Source organism: Homo sapiens, chromosome 14 (genome assembly GCF_000001405.40).
Source record: "Homo sapiens chromosome 14, GRCh38.p14 Primary Assembly".
Lineage (NCBI taxonomy): Eukaryota > Metazoa > Chordata > Mammalia > Primates > Hominidae > Homo > Homo sapiens.
Genome location: NC_000014.9, coordinates 94,953,317 through 94,974,037, shown reverse-complemented (window position 1 = coordinate 94,974,037; position 20,721 = coordinate 94,953,317). Strand labels below are relative to the sequence as shown.

Below are 20,721 nucleotides of genomic sequence, written 5' to 3'. Positions count from 1 at the left end.
CCCAGGCTGGTCTCTTAACTCCTGAGCTCAAATGATCTTCCTACCTTGGCTCACTGCAGCCCCGACCTCCGAGGCTCAAGCAATCCTCCCACTTCAGCCTCTCATGTAGCTGGGATCACAGGCACGCATCACTACACCTGGCTAATTTTTTGGTTTTTATTTTTGTAGACACAAGGTCTCACTATATTGCCCAGGCTGGTCTCAAACTCCTGGGCTCAAGTGATCCTCCCATCTCGGCCTCCCAAAGTGCTGGATTACAGGCATGAGCCACCATGCCTAGCCTTTTTTTCTTCACATCATAAATGTTTCTCCTGATTCATTAAAAAAATACTTTACAAATGTCAGGGTTTTTTTTTGTTTTTTTTTTGAGACGGAGTCTCACTCCATCGCCCAGGCTGGAGTGCAGTGGTGCAATCTTGGCTCACTGCAAGCTCCGCCTCCCTGGTTCACGCCATCCTCCAGCCTCAGCCTCCTGAGTAGCTGGGACTACAGGCGCCCGCCACCACATCCAGCTAATTTTTTTGTATTTTTAGTAGAGACGGGGTTTCACTGTGTTAGCCAGGATAAATGTCAGTTTTAATAACTGCCTTGCATTTTGCCATCTGGGTTACCACACTTTGCTTAAACAACTCTCCAACCTATAGGGTGCCTCCCATGTCTTGTGATTTTGAAGTCTGCAGTGAACGTCCTCATGTGTAAATGTTTGCAGCTGTGGCTAGAAGTATCCCTAGACATGGGATACTTAGTGCTAGATTCCAGGGACTGGTTTGAATGTAAAATGACATTTTCAAAGAGCAATCAGAAAACTGACTTAAATGGTCATTTCAATTGTGATAACGAAACAAGCTGATATAAATTGAGATTCCCAGGAGGATGTCTCTTCTGGTGTCTGCTTTTTCTATGTTGAAGTTGTTCATTTTGTTGTTTATTATTCCCAAAGTGTTCCTCACCAGCATGTTGTCAAGGGTTCATGCTTATTCTGGCTTCTATTGATCCCCTTTGATGCATCTTAAAAGTCAAATTAATGGAAGAATAGGGGTTAGAATTCAGTTTTTCCATTCATTTGTTGTGGATCAGTGACATCATCTCCCCCTTGGGACTCAGACTCCCTGTAAGTACAATAATGGGCTTTGAGCAGACAATTTTCTCCCCATCCTCGGGTTTGAGCACCTAGTACATGCCAGGCACTGAGCTAAGAGCTTTTCGTGCATTCTGTGTTTTAAACCACACTATTATTAACCCATTTTATAAATGAGGAAACAGGCCATGAAAGCGTAAATTGTACCCACAGCTCCTTCAAGGCTTGTCCACTTTCTAGCTCTAAGGTTGGACCATTGTATCTAGGGTAACACAAAGGTCCAGGGAATTAAGGTTCAACTCATCCCTACTCATATTTCCCAAGGGCCCCCCACATGCCATGGCAATGTCAAATGATTTTTTTGCAAAAAAATCATACTTATTTGCTAAATTTATTTATTTACTTATTTGCTAAATTTATTTACTTATTTGCTAAATACTTATTGTATACTTATTTGCTAAATCTCACAATGATTCCATAAAACAATGTTATTATTCCCCAGATGAAGAAGCTAGCATTCAGAGAGGTGAAGTGACTCATCCAAGATCACACAGCTGGGAAGGAACAAAGAAAAAATTTTACCCGAGTCTCGCTGCTTTTAAACACAAGGCTTCTTCCCCATGTTCAGTCCCCATTGGTAATGGGAGGATAGGTTCATGACCTCTTGTCACTGCCATGCAGATGATGAAAAGGAAGCTCTGATCTCTGTGTTCTGTCTGGACCACTTCTGGGTTTTGGTACCTTCTTCCCTCTGCATTCTCACTGTCCCCACCTTCTTGACTGGCCACCAACTTAACTCCATATTCACCATATCTGGGGCTTCCTCCTGTCATTAAAAATCCACCTCTCTCTCTCTTCCTCTCTGTGTCTCTGTCTGTGTCTCCCTTACATAGCCGTTTCCTTTTCCCTCCTCTTGCAAAATACAAAACCAGGAATGAACTGAACACAGAAGTCTGTAAACACGCCGGCTTGGCTCCTTCTGAGGCTCTGGGTTCCTGGACACAATCTTGAATCCTAATTAAGCCGTTAGAGAAAAGCTTGTTACTGGCAACAGCGTCGGGGAGAAATAGTTTCCATTGTGCAGTATCTGGAATTGGAATTGGCCAGAAGGCTCTTGCTCGCTGCTTTCGATACCTAATAGGCAGAATCTCAAATGTTATTAATCTAAGTGAACCGTGCGAGACACAGGGATAGAGTGGTGAATAGAGTTATTTGATTTTAAGAAAGAAAATCAGGCAAAGAACATTCTGTGTTTGTAATGTCCTGGATCCCTGTGACAGGCCGTTAGATTAGAAATAAGTCTGTGGTATGTGGTGCAGGATTTAATGAAACTACAAGATAAATTGAGAAGCTAAGGCCAAGGTGAAAACATAGAATTCCTGACTCACTCTCTGCTTGGAGCCTCCTGTGCCCTTGGGGATTGGTGAAATGAGCATTCTTGATGGCAGAAAAGGAAAACATCTGATGCAATTACCAGTCAGTGCTGGGGCTGCCCACATGCTAGAGGGTCGATTCTGAAGCTTCACAGCCAGCACAGCCACTGAGGCCTGGGGGAGGCAGCCATTTTGTTGGCAAAAAAAAAAAAAAGAAGATAATGGCTTCTCTCCTGTCTTACTTCATGGGATGTAGGGACAGGATGTGATGTCTGGAGCTATGGCAGTCATGTTGTGATGTGAGTTGATATACTTAATAGATTTTATTTTATTTTTATGTAGCATAAGTGTTTTGTAAACATAATCATTTAATAATAACTCAATACCCAAACCCTGAGGATGGCAGAGCAAAGATTAGAAAAAAAAAAAAATCTGATGTTATTGCTGAATCAGCAATCCAACCCTGGGACTTCTTGTTAAGGAAGAATTAAAGGATAGGTGTCAGGTATTCTGTTTCTTGAAGTCCAAAGCCTATGTAGCCAGATGCCTGCTGGATATCCATTCTTAGTATACTCTTCTGTTACAGAGCTCTGCTATGTAACAAGGCAAATTACTACTAAGAACAAAGATTACATGACCTATTCTTCTTTCCAGGTAGAGTAGCAATGAGACTAAGTTCTGGCCAATAAGTGAAAGTTGTGTGTGGGCTTCTGAGAAAACTCTTTCAAAGGAGCCAGCTTTGCAGGAGGTGTGCCCTTTGTGTCTGTTACATGGTTAGGCTTTGTGTCCCGACCCAAATCTCATCTTGAATTATAATCTCCACAATCCCCGAAAGTCAAGGGAGAAACCAGGTGGAGGTAACTGAATCATGGGGACAGTTTACTCCATGCTGCTCTTGTGATAGCAAGTAAGCTCTCACGAGATCTGATGGTTTTATAAGGGTCTCTTTCCCCTTTGCTTCGCACTCACTCCATCCTGCCACCCTATGAAGAAGGTGCCTGCCTCTCCTTTGCCTTCTGCCATGATTGTAAGTTTCCTGAGGCCTCTCCAGACACATGGAACTGTGAGTCAATTAAACCTCTTTCCTTTATAAATTACCCAGTCTGGGGAAGTTCTTTATAGCAGTATGAAAATGGACTAATACAGTCTATTTCCCATTCCTTTGTCCAGATGCCAGGAAGGCAAATGTGAAAGCTGGAACCCCAACATCCATCTTGGGCCATGAGATGGTGAAGCCGTATATAGAGGTAGGGGGAGCAGAAGGAAGATGCCTGGGTCTCTGAGGTCTGCAGACCTGCTATACCAGTCCCGACTGCCTGTATCTGGACAGAACACATTTCTGGAAAACAACAAATTCTGTGTGTTTAAGCCACTGTTCTTTTGAGTTTTCTGCAAGTCACAGATGAATCTAATCCTAATACTGGATGGAAAGCTAGCCCAAGAGGAACTCGTTTGAAACCTTCGTGGCTTCCTGTTGCCTGCAGGAGAAAGTCCTGGCTTTCAAGGCCTGTACAATCTGCCTTAACCTTCCTTTCTAGCCTCATCTGCAACTCAAAACTTCCAAATCATCCTTGGACACTCCAATCAAAGGTACTTGAGCCTCTGAGAAGCCCCCCTGACCCTCTCTGGCAGGGGACCCCTGGCTCTGGGATCTTTGGCATCTTGCCCATGCCTCTGTGCTAGCGAGTATTATACCCACCTACTAACAGTTATTTCTGTGGAAGTTTCCAGTGGAAAATGTTTGCAGGGCAGGCCAAGGAAGCCATGGCCCAGAGACAGCACAAAAGTTGGGCAGAGCCAGCGCTTCCAGCTCTGAACTAAGCCCCTTTCCACTCCACCCTCTTATTTTATTAGACTGGAGGGAGGAGGAGACTTGTTAATTTCAAGTCATTCTACTTGACAACTTGATTTGGCATCTTATTTCAAGGACAGAGCTGGAAGCTGTCGAGCTGGAAGCTGTCAAGCTGGATTTCTGGGGGTTTCAGCTGAATTCTCTTCCTCCTGGAGAATCTAGCACAGGCTGCTCCAAGGGTCACCCCCAGGTTCTATTGCCGGGACTCAATAGCAGCACTGGGCAGGTCTTGGGTGACCTGATCCTTAGCCTGGTGCTAGGCCTAAGGGCAGGGTCTGAGGCAGGTATGGAAAGAAACTGACATAGGTCTCGAGTAGAGACTGGGGTGGAGCAGGTTTGGGCAGCTGGGACTTTTTTTTTTTTAAGAAAAAAAGAGGCTTTAGGTCATTTATGCACTTACTCATTGTAGCCTGGTGCTGGTGAGAGGCAGTTAGCAGAGTGGTCAGTGTATGGACTCCAAAGTCAGACAGCATGGTTTCAAATCTTGACCCCTGGCTGGGCGAGCTGGCTCATGTCTGTAATCTCAGCACTTTGGGAGGCCGAGGCGGGTGGATCACCTGAGGTCAGGAGTTTGAGACCAGCCTGGCCAACATGGTGAAACCCTGTCTTTACTAAAAATACAAAAATTAGCTGGACACGGTGGTGTGTGCCTACAGTCCCAGCTACTTGGGATGCTGATATAGGAGAATCGCTTGAACCTGGGAGGTGGAGGTTGCAGTGAGCTGAGATCATGCACTACACTCCAGCCTGGGTGACAGAGTAAGACTCCGTCTCAAAATAAGTAAATAAATAAATAAAAATAAAAATAAATCTCGGCCTCACCATGTACTTGCCACGTGACAATGGGCTAATTCTATTCTATGAACAAAGTCATCTTACAAAAATTAGTAAGCACCAGGTATACGCCAAACACTATTCCACTATCCTAGACATAGGAAGGAGTGTGGACATAAAGCAGTAAACAATACAGATTCAACTCTTTCCCTGTGGAGATTTTGTTCTAGTGAGAGGGAAGGGGTGCTGTGGTTTGAATGTTTTTGTCTCTTCCAAGACCCATGCTGAAACTGAATCCCCAGTGCAGCAGTGCGGGAGACAGGGCCTAATGGAAGGTGTTTAGGTCCAGAGGGCTCTGTCTTCATGAATGGACTGATGACACTAAAAAAAGGGGTTGTAGGAGTGTGCTCACTCTCCTCTGCTCCTCTACCATGTGATGACACAATGTTCCTTCTCTCCAGAGGACTCAGGAACCAGGTACCATCTTGAGACCAGAGACCTAACCTGTCTGTGTCTTGATCTTGGACTTCCCAGCCTCCAGAAGAACCGTGAGAGAATAAATTTCTGTTCTTTATATATTACCTAGTCTCAGGTGTTCTGTCTCAGCAGCACAAGACAGATTAACACAGAGGGGACCAGAGAAAAAACACATAGACAAATGCATGTATAATATGTAAGATAAATATAAATTTTATCTAAAAATTAAGCAGATGGGAGGGTAATTTTTTATTGAAAGACATTGGTTGGCCAAGCACTGATCATGCTTATATTTGTCTGCCATCTACCCCACCAGAGAGGAGAGCAATCCAGAACAGGGGTGAGGTGTGATTCATCTCTAAAACTGAGTCTAGAATTGTCTAGGAGAGATTTCCCAAACTGTTGTCCATAAAAGTGTTACTAGGTAATGAGTACTAAGTGTGTGGTCCAAGTTTGGAAGGTGTCAAGCTAAATAAAATTAAATCAAACAGGCTTTTTGCTTCAGAGCCTTTATAGGCTAAGGTGCGTTGTAATGCAAGGTGGAATGGGGTAGAGGGAGGTGGCTGCCTACAGTCATAGTTCCCAAAGTTACTTGGTTGGGGGCCACTTTGAGGCAGAGCATCTCAAGGTGCTAGTGTTCTGAAGAACCCACTGTGATGGTTAATTTCATAGTCCTCATCCAATCCACTGAGGGCCTGAGTAGAACAGAAAGGTAGAGGAAGGAGAAATTTCCTTTCTCATTGAGTTCCTGGTTTTCAGGTGTTTGGACTCAGACTGGGGCTTACACCATTGGCTCTCCTGGTTCTCAGGTTTTTGGGCTTGGACTGGAACCACACCATCAGCGTTCCTGCGTCTCCAGCTTGCAGATGTCAGATCATGGGACTTCTCAGTTTCCATAATTGTGTGAGCCAACCTCTAATGATAAATCTGGCCTTGGTGACCCAGGAGCCAGGCAGAGATCCAGGGTTTTGGTGAGTGGTGGATAGATGGATTGAAAAACGCATGCATGGGTGGATGGATGGATGGATGGATGGATGGATGGATGGATGGATGGATGAATGAATGGATGGATAAATCTCTGAAAGCTTAGACTGAACATCCTGCTTCTAGACCCACAACAGAAATTGTGCAGACTAGGGGGACCTCTAGGAGCCACACTTAGCCAGCGTCCCAGAGGGCCAGGGGGAGGCCTCCATGTGGGATGAGCTGATCTTGGAGCTCTGGGACACTACGATAGGGTCCCTGGTTGGAGCCACAAAGTTGGCAGCAGCAGGAATGGGGCCAGGGCTCAGGACTGCATGGGATGAGGGGCTCCCTGCAGCTCCTGTGGGCTGGGAGAAGGCTCCTGAGAGGTCCCAGAAAAGGCTCATTCAGCTTCTAGGAAGTGTTCATGGTGTCCCTGGCTTCAGCTTTGGGATCCAGGGGCAGAAGTCTATATATGTGGCCAGGGTCTCTGGGCTTGTCTTGTTCCTGGGGCTCTGAGGACTGAGCAAGGCCAGGTGAGGGAAGTTTGAAGGCACACGGAGAGATAGGACCCCCTAGGGCAGGTGTGTGGAGCTGCAGGGCCCTGGGCTCAGCCAGCTGGGTCTCCCTGAACTCTCAGGAACACTGTATTCCCCTTGCTGTTAGGTTGGGTCAGCGACTGCTTTGGCCAAGGGAGTTAGGGTGAAAGTTGCTTGCTGCTTCTCAGCTGTCCTTAGAAACATCTGGCACTGCCCTCCAGTCCTCTCACACCTTTCCACTGCAACCTTGGAAACTGTGTGCTCTATAAGATGTAGCAACAGTGTGGGAGCAGCCAGGTACCTGAGTCCCCTCTTTGAGAAAAGCCACCCAGGAGGGCCACCCAACCCACACCAGGCTGAGAAACACAAGTGAGAAATGAATCTTTAGCCCATCAAGCTACTGAGATGCAGCCTTGATATTTTAACCACAGTGTGTGGTCTGTCCCGTGTTTATTCCAGTGCGGTTTCTCTCAGGGGGTCTAGGTTGATGGGGAGCCAGTGATGTGACTTGTCATGGATTTGGCACTTCTGTATTATTCACTGATCTCAAAAATAGAGGCACACGGCCCAGGAGAAGCAGCATGCTGTTCAAGTCCAACAGACCTATGTGCAAACCCTCGCTCTCACCGTTACCAGCTGTGTGTCATTCACCAGGCAAGTTACTTATCCTGAGCCTGTTTCCTCCTCCAGAAAATGAGTATAGTGACTCCACATCACAACATGGTTGTAAGAAAGAAGACCTTGAGTAAAGTATCAAGCATTGTGCCTGACACATAGTAGGTGCTCAACAGAGGTGAGTAACTTTCTTCCTCACCCTCAGAGATGCTCCAGAAAGCTTACCATTTATTTTTTCATTCATTCATATGTTCCTGCAATAATATTTATGAAGCACCTACTGTGTGCCAGCTTCTGTTGCAGGCACTGGGGATACCGCAGTGAACGACATGGATAGAATTCTCTGCCTTAATGGAGTGACACTTCGTTGGGAAGAGACAGTCAACGCCATGCATGGGGTGTCTGTATGTGTGTGCACGTGTGCATGTAGAGGCGTGGTCCTAGGAGGAATAGGGTGAGGATTTCCTTTTTCTTATTCTGAAGCTCTTTTTGATTTACAAAGAAAATGGAATCAGGGCTGGAAGATGCAGGAACCAAGTTTGAGAGAGTCTTTGGGGACAGTGGGTACAAGCAGTGCTCTGTGGGGCCTAGTGACACAACACAGCACCAAGCAGGGGAGAGAAACACCTCACATGCCGTACATAAGCCCCAGGGACACTTGGGGACTCCAATGTCTCATGGAGGGCAGAAGCTGCCCAGGGCCCTGGTGCTTCCATGCAGTATTTTGATAAATTAGGTGTTGATGAAACAGAAACATACAGATAAAATCTCTCTGGAGCACCCACGGGTTCCAAGATGGAGGGGAATTGTTTGCTTGGCAAAGTGCATTTTGGGTTCTGCCCAAACCCTCATGGTTGGAAAATATATCTTTTTGCCCTTCCTTTTTTGACACCCCAAACACCAAGGGTTGTATCTCGCCCCGGGAGACAAACCAGCTCTTTTAGGCCGGTAGTCGCAGCTACTCGGTAGGCTGAGGGAGGAGAATTGCTTGAACCTGGGAGGTGGAGGTTGCAGTGAGCCGAGATCATGCCACTGCACTCCAGCCTGGGTGACAGAACAGAAGGAGGCTCTGTCTCAAAAATAAAATAAAAATAAAAATAAAAAAATAAAAACCAAAAAAGGAATGGAATATCCACAGCGGCCCTTCCCTGCTGGCTGCAGATGGAAAGCTGTGCCTCGCACAAGCGCAGTGGATTCTGGCTTCAGCTCCTGACTCTTCTGCATATTGTGTGGAAAGTGCACTCGGAGGCCTTGCAAGCACTTCTGTTGGTGCAGGAGTCGTCTAGTGCGATGGGCTGGCCATGAGCCTCTCAAGACCAGGCCTGTGTGTCATTCACCATCATATCCCCAGCCCTGAGTGCAGTGTGTGGTACAAACCAGGAGCTCAATGTCTCCATTGATGAATGAATGCATGAACGAGTCTTTTTTTTTTCTTCATAACAACCCATGAGGTAGGGATAGATATTCTAATTTTCCAGTTGAAAAAATGGAGGCTCAGTGAAGTTAAGTAACATGCCCAAATGTACACAGCAAGGCTGTAGAAGAGCTGAGATTTGCACCCTCCCTGACTCCCGACTCTGTGTCTCCTTCATGATCCCTTGTGTCTCAAGGGATTCAGGGAAGCCAAGAAGTGTTTCCAGCTTTGGGAGCTTGAGATTCCTATGGACTTGGACTCCCAGGACTATGGACTCCTGGCTTTGGGAGCTTGAGATTCATTCCTAAGACTCAGTCCTAGAACACAGTGTTCACCCACTCCCTGGTGCTGTGAGCAACAGCAGCTAACATCTATTGAGCCAAGCACTGTGCTAGGTACTTACCTCGTTTTGCCTTTACAGTGTCCTGTGAGGTTGATCTTACTAGTATCTCTCCCCCTTTATTAGATGGGGAAACTGGAGCTTGAGGGGTCAAGTGAGTGGCCACGGTAATGGCTGGTGAGCCAGGGCAGAATTTGAATCCAGGCTGCCTCATTGAAGAATCCCCTTGCCTCAGCCAAGGACCAAGCAGGAGATGCAAGGGGGTGGTAATGCAAGACAAGTTCATGTTCACCTGGCTGGGGTGGGGGCAGGGGCAAGGGGCTTCCTGGAGGAGGTGGCTTATGAGCGGGGCCTTGAAGAAGGGTCAATGAATTGTGGGTACAGAAGCAGGAGGGAACATAAGGTACCTAGGGTTAGGAGTGGACATTGGGGTTCTGTGAAGTCGCAGGTTGAGAAGCAAGCCCAAGATGAGAGCGACAGGAACCCAGCCTCATTCTGTAGGGTCAAGAAGTGGCAGCTGAGACTTCTACTCAAATTAATTTCTTTTCTGATACAAATAAAGAATAAGCCAACCAAGGAAGCTGTTGACCGTGTTCGTCTCAGATGGTCTAGAAAAGTCCACACTTGGAGGCTGCTCTGGCTCTGCCTCCTGTTCCGCCTCCCGCCACTGTGTGAGCTTGGGCCACACACTCTTCCTCTCTGAGCCATTGACCCCTCACCTGCAACATGAGAGGCAGATACTTCTACCTCCAAGGGTTATTGGGTTGGTTAAGTGAGAGCAAATTCACAGAATCCCTCTCTCTTCCCAAAGCAGCACAGCAGCAACAGACAACATCACAGGCTCGAAGTCGGATTGCTTGGGATCACCAGCTCCACAACCTAGGTGTAGCTGCAAATCCTCCCTCCGTCTCCTCATCTGGAAAATGGGGACAACTGGAGACTGTATCTCACTGGGTTATGGTGAGGATCACATGGGGCATGTCTGCATGATGCTTGGCACAATACCAGATGCACCGTAGGTAAGCAGTCAATGTTCACTGGAATTATTACCATTTGTGTGATTACTATCAGAAGTAGTAGCTGTAATGGGGAAATGTCTTACAGTGTGAAATGTCAGACTCTGATGCCCCTCTATTTTTGCACTTGCTGTTTGCTCTGTTTAAAATGTCTCCCTACCCTTAAGTCAACTTATCCTTAACGATCAGCTCAAATGTCATTTACCCTGGAAGGCTTTCCTGAGTCAGGGACCCCGGGTGGATGTACATGTGAACTCGCACAGCCTTGGATCCCTATCGCTACCCAAACACTTTCAGCATAGGATGTATCTGCCATCTCTTAGCGCCCCCATCTTCCTCTAAGACCATGGCATTGAGATGTGGAGACTGTGTCTGCAGCATCCCTGGGCTCTAGGGCCTGGCACCGAGGATGTGTGTAACCAACCTAGAAGACAAATAAATATATAACGTGCTGGCCCCAATGTCATCTCCTCAAATCGTCACAACCTGTCATCCTCCTTGTGGATACAAAGTGGTGGATAAAATACATTCTAATTTACCTTTTTTGAACAACATTGAAATGTGTTTGAAAAAACATTTGCATTGAAAATGATTGGAAAACATACAATTTTGTTCATGCAGAAAACGGAATATTGAAGAGATGGGGAAATGGTGTGACCTGCAGTTGCCAATTCATGATTTGATGGCTTCGAGGCTCAGCCTCAGTGCTATAGTACTGGTGATGGAATGTTTTGGGTACATTTTTTGCTGGTGGTGGCGGGGAATGGGTCTCATGTGTTGGAAAATTTATTCCATAAAATGATTCTCATTTTATAGACAAGGAAGCTGAGGTTTGGAGGTTAAGCGACTTGTCGCCTGCTGATGAGTGATGACAATCAGGCTGTCTGCCTCGGGCCACACCCTGAGGCTGCTAGGCAGTGTCTGCTGAGACAAGGCCAAGGCGGGCTGCTCGCTCTGGGCAGACCCACTGGGGGCCTGTGGAGCTGTCTGCAGTCAGCAGAGCTGGTAGTGAGCTCTCTCTCCCCAGCGGGGAAGTCATCAAGAAATCTCCCATTTTCATCTTCCTGCAGGCACGTCTCCCTAGAGAGGTAAGTCTCATGCGTCTTAGAGCCATCACTGCAGGGAGGCAGTGAAAGGTTCAAATATGTGCCCTGGAATCTCTCCCCAAACTTTCTGACGCCACCAGAGCTCAGAATTTCCAGGAGCCTGATAAGATGTGGGGATGGGGGAGGTAAGGGGGCTGTTCTCCAGCTTCAGGAATGTTTAAACCTGGCAGGAGTCTCCCTGGGAGGATGCTAGGTCCCCTGTGGACCCTGGGAGTTCCTGGAGGATGTCCCTGCTCCGTGACTACTGGCGAAGGTAATGAGGACCCTATCTCCAGCTCCACTCCCTCCTCAAAGGCTCCCCCTCAATGGCACGTAGCAAAACCTGCAGTACATAAGCAGCCCTCCCCACCCAGCTCAGCCTCTGCGTGTCATCATGCCCTTCTCGGGACACCTCTGGACATCCGTCTGGCAGGAAGCGTCTCCTTGTCACAGCCCCATTTCCTCGCGCTCAAGTCGGGATCTGAGGCTCAATCTGGAGTTGACGTGACACTGTTTATAATTCCTCGCAGTTCCTCCGGGGTTATCCGGTCCTCGCCAAGCCCACCTCTTGCCTTTCATTTCAACTCTGAAATATGCACCAGGTCAGGGGCATGGGGATGGGCTGGGGGAGGGATCCTGCTACAGCCCTCGGCTTGTGGCTTGCACAGCCAGCTGAGGCTTGGGGTGACAAAGGGAGGGTGGACTCTGCCGGGTTTCCAGCCCCAAAATAGTTCTACCAACCATCACCAGCTACCCAGGCCACAGCTGATGGAAGGTAGAGAGGACAGGACAGCTCAGAAAGAGTTGAGGAGTGCAGCGATCAAGACTGCTGGGTAGGGGACAGGCAGCCCAGAGGGAAACTGAGGGCAGGAGAAGGGATGGAGAGGCCCTAAGGGGGAATGGGAGAGTGTGAGCCAGGGACCTTAGCATGAGTCATTCATTCATATGCACATTTATTCATTCATTGCCTGTGTTCACTCAAAAAGCATTTAGTGAGCACCTACCTAATGCACGGCTTTGCATATCACCAGTCCTGTCTGCAAGCTTCCTCGTGTAAATATTAGGTTCGTGCAAAAGTAATTGGGATTTCTGTCATTACTTTCTTTTTTTGAGGTGGAGTCTCGCTCTGTCACCAGGCTGAAGTGCAGTGGCGCCATCTTGGCTCACTGCAACCTCTGTTCCTGGGTTCAAGAGATTCTCCTGCCTCAGCCTCCTGAGTAGCTGGGACTCCAGGCATGTGCCACCATGCCTAGCTAATTTTTGTGTTTTCAGTAGAGATAGGGTTTCACCATGTTGGCCAGGATGATCCCTTGACCTCGTTATCTGCCCACCCCAGCCTCCCAAAGTGCTGGCATTACAGGCGTGAGCCACCATGCCCGGCCTCTGCCATTACTTTTAATGTAAAAACCGCAATTACTTTTGCACCAACTTAATAGTAATAATCGTTCCCATGCATTGTTTGCTTCTCTGTGCCAGGCACTGGCTAACAGCTTCCTACACATTAGCTCATTTAATCATCACATCAAGCCTCTGGTAGGGAGCATTTTTATCATTTTACAGATGAGAAAACAGGCACAGAGAGGTTAAGTAACTTGCCCAAGACCACACAGCTAGGGAGTGGCAGAGCTTGGAATAACACCCAAGCTTGTCTGAGATCCCTAAGGCTGTGCTCTCAGCTCTGCACTATACAAACCAGAGAGAAGCTCCCACTTGTCTAACAGGCCGGTGGAAAGTAGTTTCTGGAAGGAAAAGTGGGAAGGGAGATTGGTAGTTGCCCAGGGACTCAAGAGAAGGAGGCAACAGGTCAGATTCCCAGGGCTGGGCACTTCACAGCTTAGGGTCTGCGGCTGTGTCCACCCACCAGAGTCTGACCGCACGCTGCTGAATTGAAGCTTTCAGCTGTTGTTTTTGGCACCAGAGACCCAGTTTGATTGGACTTCTCGTTGGTAGTTTTGGCATATCTTGTGAGGTTTTCTTTTTAATGAAGAGATTAACAGTCGCCGTATGTTACATATCTTTTCAGGCAAATTCCACAAACATTGACGGAACCCTTGCCAAGGTCCAGAACCATGTTGAGGAATTGGTCCACATTTCCTCATTTAACCCTACTGTAATCCTCAGAGGCCACTTTATCATTTCCATTTTATAGAAATCCAGAGGAGTGAAGAGGACTGTTCCAGGCAACTTGGCTAATAAATAAAATTATTACGCCTGCAATTTATTGGGCATCTACGATGTGTTGGACACTTCTGTCAATTCCTTTTAATTCTCACAGTTCCCCTAAGGTTGGAGGGATCACAGTAACCTTACCAAGGAAGAGACTGAGGGTCGGAGAGGCCCAGACACTCAGGATATGAACCAGGATTCGGACTCAAGGGCAAAACTTTTTATTCTGTACCGCAGTTTCTTCCATTCCCCTTTACTGCATTCTTTGTACAAGTTTTGTTTTTTTAACTTTGGATTTTGTTACTAGATTTTTCGGTGCGTATATCCTGATCTCTACTTTCTGCTTTATTGCCTCAACTGTTCAGCTGGGGTGTGTTGAGCCCCTTCTGTGTGCCAGGGCCTCTGCTGGGCACTGGGGAGCAGAAGGGAGGAGACACAGACCCAACTCTCAAGAAGTTTGCAGCGATGGGGAAGGCTGACACATGGGTCAGCCACAGCTGTGCTGCTGGGAGGTGTGACAGAGGTCATGTCGTCGGGCAAGCTTTCTGGCTCCCCTCTGCAAAATGGGAATATCAGCAAGATTTACTAAGAGTGGGGATGTAAAGCGCTAAGGGTGATGACTGGCAGGTGGGGATATCATACTACGCGGTGGAGACGATGTAATGATTATGCTATCTTCCCAGAGAAATGGCTGGGTTTTTCCCTAAAAAGCCCAATAATGTTTATATGTCAAATTGTTTATATATTAAATGTTGATATTTATACTCCACAGATAGAATCATAATAGATCAGAACTAGGGGAGCCCTAGAAGATCTAATAGATCCTCTGGTCAACCTCCCCGCTATATAGCATGTAATTGAGTTTGAAAAATGCTATAGCAAGCTTGACACAGATGTGGGAGTTGGCTAAATGTTTGCATGTTTGTATGTGTCTGTGAGGGTGCAGTCTACAGTTCCTTTTATTTGCAGTTTTGTTTCATCTGTTTTACAATAATAGTTTCGGTAACCCTATACCCTGCGTTGTTGGGGCAGTCCAAAACCCCTTTAGAAAGTGACATGAATTAAAATTTAACCATTTGCATGAGAAAATAAATATAAATGTCAAAATGCACAAAAACGTTCATATCAGTGCTCTCTAAAACAGCAGACCACAAGAGTTATGATGCTGTGGTCTATCTACTCAATGGTACATTATATGAGCGTTAACAGACAAGTTAAATGAATACAAAAGATGCAAAGCGTATGTAGTCTGCTTGCCATTAGGTTGATCAGTCTTAATCTACACCCTAGGGACCACTTGTTAATGCCAGAAACATGCCTTATTCAGGAAAATACCCACTGCAGAGGTAGGTAGTTATGTGAAGCAACTAATCAAAATTGCACCTTCTGGAGCCAACCTGGAAGGACAGCCAGTGGCCCAAGCTGGAACAATTTGAGCCATGAAATTCAGAATATGCGATTGGATTGTAGCCCAAAATATACAATAAATACCCATGAGTCCATACTGATTTAAATAAACAAACGGGGGAGAGGAGATAAATGTTCCTTTAGAAATCAGAAGAATTCACTGACGAGAAGAAGGCAATGCTTCCAGTCCACACTCAAGGGAGCGGGGATAAAGAGCCCCCCTCCCGGAGATAGCTTAACTGCCCCCCACACCACCCTCGAATGTAGGCTGGACTTACTGCCTTGTTTTCAAATATAGAATATAGAAAGGGGGAAGACAGTGAACTACAGTGAAAACTGGCAAATAAGACCTTTACCAGGGACCAACATCAACGTCAGTGATGGGGCATGTTGAAGGTGCAGGTCTTTAATATGATGTGATGATAGGTAACTTCACCTCTGTGGCAATCTTGCCCAAAACGAATCACCCACTTGACGATGAGACAAACATCAGATAAGCCCAAATTGAGGGATATTTTACAAAACTCCTGACAGCACTCCTCAAAAGGGTCAAGATCATTAACGATAAGGGAAGACTGAGAGACTGTCACAGACCAGAGGACCCTAAGGAGACACAATGACTAAATATAATGTGGTTTCCTGGATGGGACCCTGGAAGAGAAAAGGGACATGAGTGGAAAACCCTAGAGAAATATGAGTAAAGTCTGGAGTTTGGTTAATGGTAATGTACCAATGTGAGTTCATCAGTTGTGGCAAATGTGCCATAGTAATGTAAGCTGTTCACATTGGGGGAAACCGAGTGAGGGGTACATTAATGGAAACTTTCTGTACTATCTTTGCCACTTTTCTAAAATTGTTCCAAAATTAGAAGTTTATAAGAATTTTCACCTTTCTAAGAAACTTCTAGAAGTACTTTTGCCATCTTTATCTCCAGTGAAAACCAGAGCATGACATATGTTAGAAATGATTTTCTGTGGGTGAAATGAGGGGTGCTCACCATTGGGGCTGTTGCCTAGGCTGTCCTGCCTGGGCATAACTCATCTTGAAGAATCTAGAAACCTTAGTGTTAGGATCTTCAGCCTTTGTAGTTCTTCCCAAGACGTGTGATTCCAAATTAGTCTCTGTTTGGGTGCTCATGGAAATTGGTTACTGGAGTTTGTCAAGCTTTGCTGAATCTTACAGCTAGAATATGGGCATGTCTGCTCTAAGAGTCCCTAAAAGAATAAAGCCTGGACTTCCCTGGAGCCACGGAACAGTTCTAGGACAGCTTCTGTGACTGCTTGCTAGTAAATATTGACACGTGAGCAAAAATTGACCCAAAACTTGCTTTCGCTCTCACCTGGTAGTGAGGTTGTAGGGGAAGGCCTCTGACATCCCTCAAAGAGCCCCAGAATTGCCCTTTCCAGATGTCAGACTTTGGAACAGGTTTTACCTATGTGCTGTGTGTGTGTGTGAGTTGAGACTCTTCTTTTTGTAAATTATCAGAACCTAACTCAAATTGGCTGGATTCACAAAAGGAAATGTGTTGACTTGAGTTTCTGGGAAGTCCAAGGGGTGGTCTCTTCTGGCATGAATGGACCCAGAGGTTCAAATGATGTCAGCTGGACTTCCCCCACCTTTCAACTGTCTTCATTCTTCAATAGGCTTTCTCCATGGCAGCCCCGGGCCTCTGTTATCCGGATTGCTCCAAAGCTGGAGGAAATGATAGTCTTGCCTTGAAGTTCCACCAAAGTCCCAGGGAAGACTCTAACTGGGCCAGCCCTGAACCCATTATAGTCAATCACTCTGATTGTTCTTGTGTGCTCCCCTGGGACAACCCGACCTGAAACATATTGATTATTGCAGAATGGGGGAAAGATAATCTCCAAAGAATAAGAGCCCAAACCGCTGTTTTATCTTAAGCCAAGTCTTCAGCTAGAACTTATCACACAAAAGAAGCCAACTAAGAACAATCCAGTGTTAAAAAAATATGTATATATATCACACAGAATCTCTAGAGGACAGAGTCCTGTCCAGGGGTCTGGAGTCAGAAGTTCTGATCCCAGTTCTCCTCTAAATCACCGAGTGACCTTGGGCCGATCACCTCCCCTCTTTGACCTTCCAGAGAGGCATTCTGTAAAATGGCATGCTGGGGAATGGGTTATGCAGGGTGTTCAGAAAGGGGGCAGAGGGAGAGGAAAGGAACCGACATTTGGAGACGGTTAGTAACTCTTCCCATTCTGTGGATCCTGGTAAAGAGAATGAAAACAGCCTGTCTTACAGAGACACACAATTCGGAATTGAAGCTGCCAGTTCCCCCTCCCCAACCAGGTGCCTGAGCTCAGTGCCAGGGACAGAGAAAAGCCTGGGGTGGGCTCTGGTACTTAGAGTATAACAGTGCCCCATGTCATGGAGATAAATGCCAGAGTGAGAAAGCCCTCACTAGAGGGACATAATTGTAGCTCCTTCCTTAGGGGGCTCCTGTGAAACTGAAGTGAGAGAAGCCAATGACGAACCGCTCAGCCAGGGCCGAGCACTCCCAGCTACAAGGAAGTCCTGTCTAAAGTCCCACTGGCTTTTGGTCAACACCCACGTGTTCTCTCCCGGGGCCTTGTGGCACAACTGTCCCCATCACCTTCACTTAACTGCTCAAACTCTCTCTGCTGCCTGGCAATGAAGAGTGAACTGAAAATGCCATCACCCGGAATATCCTTGATGAAGCAGTACAATTTATTAATTTTATTAAATCCTGACCCTTGATTGCATGTCTTTGTAACGTTCTATGCGACTAAGCAGGAAGTGGACGTAGGGTGCTTCTCATACACACAGGTGCATGTCTGAGTTGTGAGAGATGAACAGCTTCTTATTTCATAGAATCCCCTTTTTTTCTTGAAAGAACAACTGATAAGCAAACAATGGTTGTTTAGACTTGGGCATTTGGCAAACATTTTTGAGAAAATGAATGAAGTGAGCCTGTCACTTCAAGGAAAACAATGGACAGTATTTGTTGCCAACAAAAAAATTCAAACTTTTCAAGGAAAATTTGAATTTTGGAAAATTTATATCCATAATTAAGTGTTTCCCAACACCTAAAAACTTTTAAAAAATGAGTTTGGAGGTAGTGTTAATGAACGAGACTGTTTGATATTGCATGACAAAAGGTGTCAACATTTGGAATCTCGACATACTTCAGTGAACCAATATTTTCCAAGTGACCAATGTGTGACGTTGCAAAAGCATCAATGAATAAAAGAGCCATTAAAATTCAAGATACAACAATGGTTTGTAATTTAACAGAATACAAAAATTTCATTTTGACATGATTTCAGATTCCACATTGAAATTTTAAAAGAAACTGACATTTGTCAAATGCTGATGTACCAATCAAAACTAAATATTCACAATTACCTGAAAAGGCAATTATAATACTCCTCCCTTTTCCAATTATATATCTTGGTGAAGCTAGATTTTCTTTATATCCTTCAATCAATGCAACATATCACAACAGACTGAAAACAGAAGCAGACAGGAGAATTCTTCTTTTATTAAGCCAGACATTAAAAAGACTTGCCAAAGTGTGAAACAGTCATTCTTCTCAGTAAATTTTTTGTTTTAGAAAATATAGTTGTTTTTAAGCTGGTGTGGTGTCTCACTCTTATAATCCCAGAGCTTTGGAAGGCCAAGGCAGGAGGATCACTTGAAATGGGCCTGGACAACATAGCGAGACTGTCTCTACAAAATATATATATATATATTTTTTAATTAGATGGGTTTGATGGTACATGCCTATAGTCCTAGCTACTTGGAAGATGGAGGTGGGAGAATCACCTGAGCCCAGGAATTCAAGGTTACAGTTATCTATGATAGCACCACTACACTCCAGCCTGGGTGATAGAGTGAGGTCCCATCTCTAAAAATTAAATAAGTAACATTTAAAAAGAAACTATAGGGGTTTTTTCCCTTAAAATATGCATGTTAACATGCACAGGTTTATGTTTTATTTTAAATGAATTAGTATATATATTTACATTTTTCAGTTTTAATTTCTAATATGGTGAATGTTTATAGCTATGTATGACCCACATAAACAAAAGCTCTTTGGAGTCCTCAATGATTTTTAAGAATGAGACCAAAACATTTGAAAACCACTGAATTGCAGCTTGGCTCCAGGGAGGCAGCTCTTAGACACTGGCCAAGCACTTCCCTGCCTCTCTCCCTATGGCCCAGAAGCAAAGGCCAAGCAGAGTTTAGGTGGTCTCCTCCCACCCCATTGCCTCGAGGTGGTCTTTGTGCCCTCTTGTCCCATACAGAGGCAGGCACAAACTCCCAGCCCCAGGTCACCATGAATCAGCCCTGTAGCCAGTTCCCTGAGAGACTGGCTGAGCACAACATGCTATATGCCTCAGTTTCCCCATTTTTGAAAGAGCAGATTGGCCTGGCCAGTCCTAGGGGCTCTGTGGTAGGCTGGATAATGGTCCTCAAAGATATCCAGATCCTAATCCCTGGAACCTGTGAGTGTTACCTTATATGACTAAAGAGACTGAAGATGAGATGAGAGATCTTGAGATGAAGAGATGACCCTGGATTATCCAGTGGGCCCTGTGACTACAGAAGAGCCTTCCTGAGAAGAGATCACCCAGCCTCTGCTTAAACACCACCTGTGAAAGGGACCTCACTGCTCGCAGTGGTGGAAGCAGGTGGCTACTGTGTGACCATCGCTTTCAAAGGCGCCGGCATGCACATTGGAGGGTAAGCCTCTGTTTTCTCATCACACAAGTCTGAAGCTGCTGTGCCAAGGCAACTTGCCTGTAAGCACTCTGCTAACAAGGGGCGGCATCTGTCTGACCCCTGAGCCGTGCTCACACTGGGACTTGCTCACTTTCAGAATCCAGCCCAGATTCTAGCAGAGACTAGACTCTCAGAAGTGATTTGTAGAATTAATTGACAAAATGAGTCCTTTCAGCCTGAGCCTCCCAGAAGTGAGCCAGCTATTTCCAAAGGTTGGTGGGAGAACGCGTAGGGCGAGGTTCACTAAGCTTACTTGTAGGCAACTGCAGTGCTGTCCACCAGAAATAGGAGGTGAGCCATTGTTTAGGGCTGAATTGTGTCCCTGCGATGTTCATGTGTTGACTCCTTAGCATCTAGTACCTCAGAATGTGACCTTATGAGGAGATAAGGTCTTTATGATCAAGTTAAAATGAGGTCATCCAACGTGACTGGTGTCCTATAAGAAAGGGAAATCCATTACTGGGTACATATTCAGAGGAATATAAATCATTCTATCATGAAGACACATGCACGTGAGTGTTCACTGCAGCACTACTCACAATAGCAAAGACATGGAATCAACCTAAAGGCCCATCAATGACAGATTGGATAAAGAAAACGTGGTACATATACACCATGGAATACTATCCAGCCATAAAAAGAATGAGATCATGTCTTTTGCGGGAACATGGATGGAGCTGGAGGCCATTATCCTTAGCAAACTAACAAAGGAACAGAAAATCAAATACTACATGTTCTCACATATAAATGGGAGCTAAGTGATGAGAACTCATGAAAACAAAGAAGGGAAAAATGGACAGCAGGGTCTACTTGATGGAGTGGGGGAGGACGGCGAGAAGCAGTAAAGGCAACTAT

General features: G+C 45.8%; 3 long non-coding RNA genes across 3 annotated transcripts; all 3 read left to right on the top strand.

The window, feature by feature from the left end:
* The first annotated feature begins 3,630 nt into the window (after positions 1-3,630).
* LOC107984646 (uncharacterized) lies at positions 3,631-6,512 on the top strand. The gene is made up of 3 exons (XR_001750937.2): positions 3,631-4,041; positions 5,539-5,625; positions 6,364-6,512. It is a non-coding gene; the product is annotated as an uncharacterized LOC107984646 (long non-coding RNA).
* Positions 6,513-10,262: 3,750 nt separating this feature from the next.
* On the top strand, positions 10,263-11,523 carry LINC02279 (long intergenic non-protein coding RNA 2279). The gene is made up of 3 exons (XR_001750936.2): positions 10,263-10,444; positions 11,063-11,159; positions 11,258-11,523. It is a non-coding gene; the product is annotated as a long intergenic non-protein coding RNA 2279 (long non-coding RNA).
* A 348-nt stretch (positions 11,524-11,871) lies between these two features.
* Positions 11,872-13,761, top strand: LOC124903370 (uncharacterized). The gene is made up of 2 exons (XR_007064318.1): positions 11,872-12,128; positions 13,550-13,761. It is a non-coding gene; the product is annotated as an uncharacterized LOC124903370 (long non-coding RNA).
* The last annotated feature ends 6,960 nt before the right edge of the window (positions 13,762-20,721 follow it).